Source organism: Homo sapiens, chromosome 13 (assembly GCF_000001405.40).
Source record: "Homo sapiens chromosome 13, GRCh38.p14 Primary Assembly".
Lineage (NCBI taxonomy): Eukaryota > Metazoa > Chordata > Mammalia > Primates > Hominidae > Homo > Homo sapiens.
The window spans coordinates 41,571,717-41,583,755 of NC_000013.11; the positions used below are offsets into that span (position 1 = coordinate 41,571,717).

The window sequence follows — 12,039 nt, forward strand, 5'->3', positions numbered from 1 at the left end:
GCCTGCCTTGGCCTCCCAAAGTGCCGAGATTGCAGCCTCTACCCGGCCGCCACCCCGTCTGGGAAGTGAGGAGCGTCTCTGCCTGGCCGCCCATCGTCTGGGATGTGAGGAGCCCCTCCGACTGGCCGCCCAGTCTGGGAAGTGAGGGGCGCCTCTTCCCGGCCGCCATCCTGTCTAGGAAGTGAGGAGTGTCTCTGCCCGGCCGCCCATCGTCTGAGATGTGAGGAGCCCCTCTGACCGGCCGCCCAGTCTGGGATGTGAGGAATGCCTCTGCCCGGTGGCGACCCCGTCTGGGAATTGAGGAGTGTCTCTGCCCGACCACCACCCCATCTGGGAGGTGAGGAGTGTCTCTGATCGGCTGCCCCGTCTGAGCAGTGAGGAGCCCCTCCGCCCGGCAGCTGCCCGTCTGCGAAGTGAGGAGCCCCTCCGCCTGGCAGCCGCCCCGTCCGGGAGGGAGGTGGGGGGTCAGCCCCCGCCCCGCCAGCCGCCCCGTCTGGGAGGGAGGTGGGGGGCGCCTCTGCCCGGCTGCCCCGTCTGGGAAGTGAGGAGCCCCTCTGCCAGGCTGCCACCCCGTCTGGGAGGTGTACCCAACAGCTCATTGAGAATGGGCCATGATGACGATGGCGGCTTTGTCGAATAGAAAAGGGGGAAATGTGGGGAAAAGAGATCAGATTGTTACTGTGTTGGTGTAGAAAGAAGTAGACATGGGAGACTCCATTTTGTTCTGTATTAAGAAAAATTCTTCTGCCTTGGGATGCTGTTAATCTATAACCTTACCCCCAACCCCATGATCTCTGAAACATGTGCTGTGTCCACCCAGGGTTAAATGGATTAAGGGCGGTGCAAGATGTGCTTTGTTAAACAGATGCTTGAAGGCAGCATGCTCCTTAAGAGTCATCACCACTCCCTAATCTCAAGTACCCAGGGACACAAACACTGAGGAAGGCCGCAGGGTCCTCTGTCTAGGAAAACCAGAGACCCTTGTTCACATGTTTATCTGCTGACCTTCCCTCCACTATTGTCCTATGACCCTGCCAAATCCCCCTCTCCGAGAAACACCCAAGAATGATCAATAAATACTAAAAAAAAAAAAAAAAAAAAAAAAGAAACAGGCCGGGCGCGGTGGCTCACGTCTGTGGTCCCAGCACTTTGGGAGGCCGAGGCTGGCAGATCACAAGGTCGGGAGTTCGAGACCGGCCTGGCCGGCATGGTGGAACCCTGTCTCTACTAAAAATACAAAAAATTAGCTGGGTATGGTGACATGCGCCTGTGATCTCAGCTGCTCGGAGGGCTGGGACAGGAGAGTCGCTTGGGTGTGGGAGGCGCAGGTTGTAGTGAGCTGAGAATGTACCACTGCACTCCAGCCTGGGCGACAGAGCAAGACACCGTTTCAAAAAAAAAAAAAAAAAAAGAAACAAGCCAGGCACGGTGGCTGACGCCTGTAGACCCAGCACTTTGAGGTGGGCAGATCACCTGAGATTGGGAGCTCAAGACCAGCCTGGCCAACATAATGAAGCCCCATCTCTACTAAAGATACAAAACAAAACAAAAATTGGCCGGGCATGGTGGTGCGTGCCTGTGGTACCAGCTACTTGGGAGGCTGAGGCAGGAGACTGGCTTGAACCCGGGAGGAGGAGGTCGTAGCGGGCCGAGATTGTGCCACTGCACTCTAGCCTGAGCAACGGAGCAAGACTCCATCTCAAAACAAACAAAGAATAAGACCTAGTGTTAGCTAGCACAACAGGGTGGCTATAGTTTAAAAAAAAAAAAATATATATATATATATATATACCTCTCTCTATATATACGTGTATATATATATACGTATATATAAAATATATACACGTATATATATGTATATATATAAAATATATATACACCTCTATATATACGCATATATATGGTGTGTGTGTGTGTGAGACAGAGTGTTGCTCTGTCGCCCAGGCTGGAGACCTCAGTGGCGTGATCTTGGTTCGCTGCAGCCTCTGCCTCCCGGGTTCGGGCGGTTCTCCTGCCTCAGCCTCCCGGGTGGCTGGGATTGCGGGTGCCCGCCACCATGCCCAGCTAATTTTTTTTTGTATTTTTGGTAGAGATGGGATTTCGCCAGGTTGGCCGGGCTGGTATCGAGCTCCTGGCCTCAGGTGGTCTGCCCGCCTCGGCCTCCCGGGGTGCTGGGATTGCAGGCGTGCGCCACCGTGCCTGGCCGTAAAAAATAATTTAATTGTACATTTAAAATAACTAAAAGAGTTCAACTGGATTGTTTGTAACACAAAAGATAAATGCTTGAGGTGATGGATTTCCCTTTAACCCTGCTGTGAATATTATGCATTGCATGCCCGTATCAAACATCTTATGTGCCCCACAAGCATATAAACTTACTATGCACCTGCAAAAATTAAAAATAAACTTGAAAACATAAAAACAAAACAAAAATCAACATTAAAGAAAAGTTTTCTGTAAAAAAAAAAAAAAAGAAAACCCTAAAGTCTGATAAATGAATTCAGTAAAGTCTCAGGTTACAAAATCAATATACTCAAATCAGTAACACTGCTATATGCCAACAATGACCAAGCTGAGAATCAAATCAAGAACTCAATCTCTTTTACAATAGCTGCACACACACAAAACCCTAGGAATATACTTAACCAAGGAGGTGAAAGAGCTCTACAAGGAAAACTACAAAACACTGATGAAAGAAATCATAGATGACACAAACAAATGGAAACACATCCAATGCTCATAGATGAGGAGAATCAATATTGTGAAAATGACCATACTGCCCAAAGCAATCAACAGGTTCAGTGTAATTCCCATCAAAATACCATCATTATTTTTCAAAGAACTAGAAAAAACAATCCTAAAATTCACGTGGAACCAAAAAAGAGCCCAGATAGCCAAAGCAATACTAAGCAAAAGCAGCAAATCTGAAGGCATCACATTACAGGGCTTTAAATTATACTAAGGCTATAGTTACCAAAACAGCATGGTACTGGTATAAAAATAGGCACGTAGACCAATGAGACAGAATAGAGAACCCAGAAATAAAGCCAAATATGTGGATGTGGTGAAAAGGGAACATTTACACTGCTGGTGGGAATGTAAATTAGTACAACCACTATGGAAAACAGTATGGAAAGTCCTTAAAGAACTAAAGTAGGTCTACCATTCAGTCCAGTAATCCCATTAATAGGTATCTACCCAAAGGAAAAGAAGTCATTATATTAATATGAAAAAGACAACATGCACACACGTTTATAGAAGCACAATTAGCAATTGCAATGATATGGAACCAACCTAAGTGTCCATCATCAACCAATGAGTGATAAAGAAAATGTATATATACACCATGGAATACTACTCAGCCATAAAACTGAATAAAATAATGGCATTTGCTGCAACTTGGATGGAGCTGGAGGCCATTATTCTAAGGGAAGAAACTCAGGAATCGAAAACCAAATACTGTATGTTCTCACTTATAGGTGGGAGCTAAGCTATGAGGACACAAAGACATAAGAGTGATATAATGGACTTTGGGGACTAAGGTGGGGAAGGTTCTCAGGGGGGTGAGGGATAAAAGACTACATACTGGGTACAGCGTATACTGCTCGGGTGATGGGTACACTATCTCAAAATTCACCACTAAAGAACTCATCCATATAACCAAAAACCACTCGTACCCCAAAAACTATTGAAATAAAAAAATTTTAAAAGGGGTCATTCTTTTCCTTCTATTGCACATGTAGGGGCTGAGAAGAGCCATATAGGACATACAAGGGGGCCCAGGTTGTAGAATCCCAATCTAAATCCAAGTGTCCTAAAAATATGTAGGGGACAAATTTTAAATTTTATATGGTGGAGAAAAGGATTTTAGGCATGATGGGTGTTTTCTCAGTTCAATACTTGAATGTGTGTGAAACAGTCTTTTTCTTTCCTGTGTATCTGCTGCTGCTTCAATGAATCCTTTTAGTCTTTACCTAACCTGATAGAAGCTTTCATAATACAGAGGTAATAAAATATATTTACCTTCAGAATTTCTAGTCTTTGCTTATTGTCCTTGGGGATTTTGTTCATTGGAACCAGACCAATGTTGTAGCCATCTCCAGAGTGTCCAACGATGTCATACTACATGCAAGAGAACCAGAAAGTTATAAACTTTTCTCCACAAAAGAACAGTCATTAGATCTTTAATGTTCAACTCTTTGGACCATTATTGTCCAAAGTTGCTCAACATATGGCCATAAAGAAATGCAGTGAGACAGAAGTGTGTTTAATTCTCTAATCTCACTATGTACATGAGAAACTCTTGTCTACTGAGAAAGGCTAGAGCTGGGAGTCAAGTGCAACCTTTTCACAGAGTCTGGAAAAAAAGTCTGGGGTCTGAGGTAAACTATAATTGGGGTGAGGTAGTTCCCTCCAACTTTGAGTTACACATACTCTTGTGTTGTAGAGCAATGCAGTTATTTCTTTTCATGTATGTTCCTTTTAAAATGGTGAGTTATTTGAAGGTGAGGCCACAGCTTATTTCTCTTTGAATTTCTAGAATCTAAGAGAGTGCCTAGCATGTTTATTGCACAAATGCTGTAAGAGAGTTTGCAATCAAGTTGGGGCAATAAGAAGCTTTTCCCTTGCATGTGGGCTACATTCTCCTACAAATAAGCTGTTTGAAGCTGGAATGCATTTTTCCCCCTCAACAATCATGGGATAAATGGTGGTTAGTCCATGCTAGCTGACAAACAACAATCCATAACATAACTGAAACTGCTGTGTTTTAAATGGAAAGAAACAGAAAAAATTTGGTTGAAATTGTTATGCAAAAATAGGAAGTGAGAAGAAGGGTTTCCTAGGGAAGATGAGTCCCATTATAGATATGCTGAACTTGTGTCCTGGGGGAGAGATGTGGCTAGGGGTGAAGACCTAACAGTTATCCCCAGGAGGGAATAAATGGAGGCCCATATATTATGTCTAAATATGTAAAAGATATACATCAGGCTACCAACTGTTAAATAAAACATGTTCTGTCCTCCCACTTTGATAAAATATACGTTATAATAACCTGGAAAGCCAGGGCCAAATTTCAAATACTTGGGTTCCTGGAAGTTCTGTGCTAGAACATGGTCACATGGACAGTAATGGCCCCTGGCCCATAGCCCATACCCTTCTCTTTTCATAGTTGGCTCTGGCCCACCCCATGAGGTACCTCAAATGCATGTGTGTGGACACCCAGTGCTGACATCCACACTCCATCGCTCCATCATAAACAACAGTTACCCTCTGCCCACCCTCTGAGCACCTTGGGGTGCTCACACAATTGGCCAGTCTGTCCTAGGAAGATGGACTTAGGAAAGAGGCCCACGCAGGATTTGGAAGCAGGCTTGGGGTCATTTGATGAGAATAGTTGGGGATCCCAGGTACCAGGAGCATGATCTAAAAACAGGCTTTAAAGGCCCTTTGGCCCCATAGACACCTCACCTCATGGGAGGGTCATGGTCAGAGGAGGGCCAGAGTGGGGCCATGGGTGGGGGTGAGATGGTGGGAGATTATTCTGTGCCTGGTTTAAATATAAAAGAATAGCGAAGGAAATTTATCAATGCATTAAAAAGGTTGACAGTAAATGATTTCCAATGATGTAACACATTCCATATAAGAAAAAAAAATTATTCTTAGTATAGTTTGCTATCAATAGAGTGAAAAGGTACCAAATAAAAACTGAAACTAAAAGCAGCTGAGCTCAGCTGTTAGAAATTGCTCAGGATAGGAAATTTCTGGCTTCGGCATAGGCTTGACTAAAGTCATCCATGGGTTCAGTGGTAGGATTGGCACAGATGTGGAGAGAGCTTGCATAATCCTTCCATGGAAGCACACTCCAGGGAGGCCCCGACTGATTTGACAACGGTCATGGCAGGAACTGTTTGTAGTCAAGAGGGGAAAGTTCTCCTGAGAAAGTGCCAGGCAGGTTGCTTTCATTATGGGCTGGTGAAGTAATCTGCTAAACAGGATCTTACACATGAGGGAATAAGATCAGTTCCCTGACACGGAACTAGGTTTCTTATATTGGGCTGAGGTAAGAGGGCTATGAATGTGTTTGACTTTTCCCTCCCTTTTAACTGATGGCTAGAGTTCTTTCTAATTAGATGATAGTGAATGAAACTATAGAAATCTTTGATCATATGGTCTGTCACAGGGTCAATGTAACTGGTCAAAGAGCAGTCAACAAATACAGTTTTTAGCTGGTCTTTAGTAAAACAAGATACTGGCTGATTAAAACCTTCAGAAATACTTTAGCAACCATCCATCTATCATTTGATTGTGTGACTGATATATCTATCTACCATTTAAATATATGCCTAGGAGAAAAAAAACATACTATACTTTTCTAGGCAAATGAGACAAAGAAAGGTGGACTGTATGCTTCTTTTTCTTCCTTCTTCCCTCTTCCCTTTCTTTCTTCTTTTTTTCCCTTCCTTTTTCTTTCTCATCTCTTATTTGGGTAAGGAAAGACCAGCCTTTGTCTGTGCCTGGTGAGTACTGCAAAGGCTTGCAAAGACACCTAAGTGACAGGATGGAGCTTATAAAATAGTTTGCAGGCCCTGGTTTCTCATCTTCCAGATGGGTTTGAGGATTATTCTGTGACCAAAGCCAATAAAACGCTTGGGAGGAATCTAAAGTACATCCAAATGTGGACCATTCCCTGGCGTTACTGCAGATTATATTAAGCTTCCATTACCAGCAATACTCCTCCATCAAAATTATCTAGTATCTGCTATCCAAGGATTCCAACATGGTTTACCAACAGTGATTTGCTAATCCTGAAAATTGTGTGGGTTAATGGAAAAGATGCATACTCTCATTCATTTCCATTTGCTAACTCCTAAATCTGCCATTCACCTGATCTGGTTTCTACGATGATCGTGAAATCCAACTTGACAGGGCCTCGAGCATGCTTCCATGGAGGAGCTACAGGAGTCAATAAACAAGATCCTCACTGTCATTATCAAACCGCCTAACATTTAGATCAGAATTTTTTCTGAGCTCAAAATTTTTATGATCATGATTTCTGCACTTTTCAGAGCATTCCTGAAAACCCTGTGCAGTCTCACATTTAGCATTTAACATAAATATTAAGCCACAGTAGTAAAGAAAAGCCTCAACTGCAGAGGACCAATTTAAATACTTTTTTGCTTTAGAAATCTGTTTAAATGCCCTTTTGCTATATTTTCTTTTGGAAGTGTTGTTCATTTAGAGAAAAGTATAACAAACAAAAACAAATGCTGAAATTTTGGTCAAAGATGTGGTTTATCATCAAATAAGAATGATTTATAATGTTTAGAATGCATAGGACAAAGTGCTATTAGCAATTTTATGAATAAGATTTATGTGTAAATTTCTATTAGGACGGACAACCATTTGCTGGCTTTAGGAGATGCTATGCTTTATTATGCGGCCACATTGTAAGTAGGTACGAGACAATCATCTAAGGCTATTTATTAAAACTACTAGGTGTAAAATTCTCATGTCCTTCTAGAAATATAAATACACCATTCTCATTCTCCTGTGTGCCACTAACTACGGGCTACACAGGATCAGAAGATAAATATGTGATTTAAAAAGTCAAGAGAAATGCCAGCGGAACCCTAGTGTTAGTTACGTAATAACCTATAGCATTAGCTGGCTAACCTTTCTTCAGATCATGTAAGTCAACGTGAAAAGAATAATGTACTGAAAGGTCAAGGATTCTAGGCTCTGACGTTAACAAGCTTTTTGACTTAGAGAAAAATCACTTAACCTCTCTAAACCTTGTTTCTACCTTGTAAACAATGATGGCTTAGAAAGTCTCTAACACTGTATGCTTGTTAATCACTTAACCTCTCTGACAACATGGGGTAATATCTGTCTTACCACCTCCCAGGGTCATTGAAAGGATAGGACAATACACTTACTGACTTTATAGTTTGTTACAGTTTACAAAGGGCTTCCATATATCTCATCTCATTTTGATTTTCTCTACAAGTTTTGGGGTGTTATCCTTATGTCACAAATGCAGAAATTGATTCTTAGAGAGACTAACAGACTTCCTTAAGGGTGTTGGTTAAACCCCAGGTTTTCTGACACTAAATCCATTTTGGTTGTTTTTATTTTTTGATTTTCTTTTGAGACAGGGTCTTGCTCATTGGCCAGACTGGAATGCACTGGTACGATCACAGCTCACTGCAGCCTCAACCTCCTGGGCTCAAGTAATCCTCTCATTTCAGCCTCCTGAGTAGCTGGGACCACAGGCATGCGCCGCCACACCTGGCTAATTTTTGTATTTTTTTTTTTTTTGTAGAGACAGGGTCTTGCTACATTGCACATGCTGGTTTTGAACTCCTGGGCTCAAGCAATAAACCCGCCCTGGCCTCCCAAAGTGCTGGAATTATAGGCATGAACCACTGTGCCCGGCCCAGTGTTTTTACTACAGAGAAATAACTACTTCCCCAGCTACGCTCCCCTCCCATCTCTACTTGTTTTTGAATGGTTGGGTTGGCCAATATTTCTACATCCACAATTGAATCAATTCTGAATTCTTGTTTGAAGGGACTCAGAAAAGTATGTACGACCTCCTTTGGTCCAATCTCCATGTAGCAATAAGAATTTATTCACAGCCTAAACTGATAGGATGACTGATCTCCATTTCTAAACCTGTGAAACATTCTTGAGGTACTGGAAAGAGATTAATTGCAGATACTGAATTAACTTCTTGATAGAAGAAATTTCCCTGGCAGGTGCTGATTTGTGAGTCATATGTTTCCACTTTCTCCTGGGAGTTAACTCAGCCTTTCTGATCAAGGTATCTTTGAGAAAAGTTTGTCTATTATACCTCCCTTGGATGGTGAGGTGCCAAGGGTAGGAGAAGACAGAGTACCTTACATAAATGATACACTTGCTCCTGAATTACAGTTTAAAAAAATCAAATTGAACAGAGATAAAACAGCTATAAGAAACAGGGATGAAACATCAACTAAGAGCCCTGAAGTGGAAGTCAGAAGTGCTGGCTTTGCACTGTAACGGTGTGACCTTGGGCAAAGCATTGAACCTCTTTGAATCTTTGTTTTCTCTTCTGTAAAACAAAAAGGTTGGTGAAAATAATTTCCAAGGCCATTCCTACCCCCCAAATTCTATATAAACTTAATGGTATGTTTAAGAATTGTAATGAGAAAGCCTGCTTCTCTTAGTTTTAGGAACACCTAATGCCTTGTTTTCTTCTGTCAAGGGAGAGTGAGTCATCTATTTTATTTTATTTTATTTTATTTTATTTTATTTTTTTTTGAGACGGAGTCTCGCTGTCGTCCAGGCTGGAGTGCAGTGGCGCAATCTCGGCTCACTGCAGGCTCCGCCCCCTGGAGTTCACGCCATTCTCCTGCCTCAGCCTCCGGAGTAGCTGGGACTACAGGCGCCCGCCACCTCGCCCGGCTAATTTTTTGTATTTTTTTAGTAGAGACGGGGTTTCACCGTGTTACCCAGGATGGTCTCGATCTCCTGACCTCGTGATCCGCCCGCCTCGGCCTCCCAAAGTGCTGGGATTACAGGCGTGAGCCACCGCGCCCGGCCGAGAGTGAGTCATCTAAATCAGAGGGTCAATGGCACCTTTTCCAGAAAGAAAGCCCTCAGAGCCTGTGAGAAATAATAATCCAGTACATTACATAATCCCTAACACAATGGCTTTCTAATTCTTCCTTTCCTTTAAAAATTTGTTAGCAGTGGAACCCTTCCTTCAAATGAAATACTGCACAAAAGCCCAGCTTATGAAACATCCTGCATTATCTATACATGTGAAATTGTTGTAGTTGAATTGGGGATGGAGGGCAATGGGGCACAAAGTGCTGCCTACTCACTGCCCCCCTCCACTGCCAAACATCCTTCAAAGGTTCTTGTTACACTGTTAGAAAACCACTGCCCTAGGATATGGTTTATATGCCTTCACAGAAACAATACGTTTAAGTTTCTTTTTTTTTTTCCAAGTGCAACTTCTGAATAATGAAATAAATCTCTTTTCTGGTCCCACTATTTGAGTGCTTAGTGGAGAAATAGTTACCTAACTTTGGTATTATTGAGTACTTTGAAAAAAAATTAAGCCATTAAGAGCCTTTGAAAAGGAGGTGTATTTCAAGATTACAGTGAAAACATTCCCAGGAGCTTGGAGAAAGCATGAGGAACAAATTGGAATGAAGGTTAAGGAAAAAAATGCTTCTTGATGAAAAGACAACGGTTCACAAAAACAGTACTATTCTACTTTTCACTTTAATTTGAAGCACTACATGAACACTAAGAATGATGCTGACTACAAGAGTAGAGGAGCTTATGCTGATTATAAGCAAATGATGTTGCGCTAGTCTTCAGTGACCTACTGTGAATGCTATTCCCGGGAATAGCTGAATTCAGTTGGTGGAGCAATTATGAGAAACTTTAAACACTCCAAATGGCTTAGAGATGTGTCTTGCCACTGAATTACCTTTCCTTCTCAGTAATTCTTGCTCTAGGGTCCCTGTGGTTTAGCACAGGTCATGATAATGTGGAATAAAAAATAGAGGCTGACTCCAAATGAGCCTCCGGGACCTAGACTGTAATGACCCACGGCTCAGGAGCTGCACTCAAGCCAAGCAAAACACAAAGCAGACGCCAAGAGAGATGGGGAGAGTCCAGAGCACAGACCAGGCCAGCGGCTTCTGAAGGTTTCAAAGCAAATACAGACCAGACACCTTTACAACTGAGGGATAACTGCAGGAAGACAACATTAAGAACTGTCTGGAACTGGGGCTGGGGAGTCTCAGATCACACTGTTGAATTCCTAATGACCCCATGTGTGATGCCATTCTGGGCTATGGAATATATATTTTTCTCTAGGAGCTCCTCAAACTGTCTTCTGTTCATGCATAATTTTTTTTTCTGAGTAAATTAAATCCTTTTGTTAGTTATTCCTATTCCCTTTATGCCTTTCACAAATGAGAAAATGAAAGTATTCAGTTGAATATGATCATATAACATAATGATACAGAACAGAATGCATGGTACACAGCCACTGAATGTATGTGCATCAAATATCTCTGAGAAGAGACTGATAATTCCACTAATAGTGGTTGTACTGGAGAGAGGAGCTGGGAGCTGAGAGGGGGCGGGCAGTGGCTTACTCTTCACTCTTCCTCCTTTTATACCTGTTACACTTTCTGCTGCGTGCACCAATCACCTATATACCCCCAAACATTTATAGTCAGCCCTTTGCATATGCAGATGTGGAACCCATGGAGAGGAAGGCCAGCTGGAAGATTTCAGCATCCACAGGTTTTAGTATCTGAGAGGGATCCTGGATCCAATCCCTCATAGATACCAAGGGACAACTGTAATTATAAGTAGAAATAACTCTTACAGAATGTAAGGAGCTCCATCTTACCTCCTTCCTGCCCTGCGCATTGGCCTGGGGAGCCCTAGCAGAGACTGGGTGGCTTGTGGGTACTTAAATCTCAGACACATTGCCAGGGGCGGTAGGAAGATGATACAAAGTCCCATATGGAGAGAAGGCCTGTTAGGAGTTTTGGAAATACAGGGGATATTGGGACAAGTTAAATGGCACCATGAGAAAGCAACCAGAAAATCCAGTATAACAAACAGCCTAGGGCCAGGTGCGGTGGCTCACGCCTGTAATCCCAGCACTTTGGGGGGCCAAAGCGGGCAGAACATGAGGTCAGGAGTTTGAGACCAGCCTGGCCAATATGGTGAAACCACTGTCTCTACTAAAAATACAAAAATTAGCCGGGCGTGGTGGCACATGCCTGTAGTCCTAGGTACTCGGGAGGCTGAGACAGAAGAATCGCTTGAACCTGGGAGGCGGAGGCTGCAGTGAGCCGAGATCACGCCACTGCACTCCAGCCTGGGTGACCGAGCAAGACTCCATCTCAAAAAAAAAAAAAAAAAAAACAAACAAAAAAAGAATCTATAAGACAACTGGCCTGGACCCTCATGAGAGGGTCATAAGAGTGACTGTCATGAAAAGCAAAAAAATGCAGTGGT

General features: G+C 42.9%; 1 protein-coding gene across 1 annotated transcript in view; it reads right to left on the reverse strand.

Annotated features, from left to right (window-relative positions):
* VWA8 (von Willebrand factor A domain containing 8) overlaps positions 1-12,039 on the reverse strand; it is a 394,275-nt gene that overhangs the window by 4,882 nt on the left and 377,354 nt on the right. Inside the window, exon 43 of the mRNA NM_015058.2 lies at positions 4,024-4,122. Coding sequence (NP_055873.1) covers positions 4,024-4,122 — 99 coding nt within the window. The remainder of the gene's footprint in view (positions 1-4,023; positions 4,123-12,039) is intronic.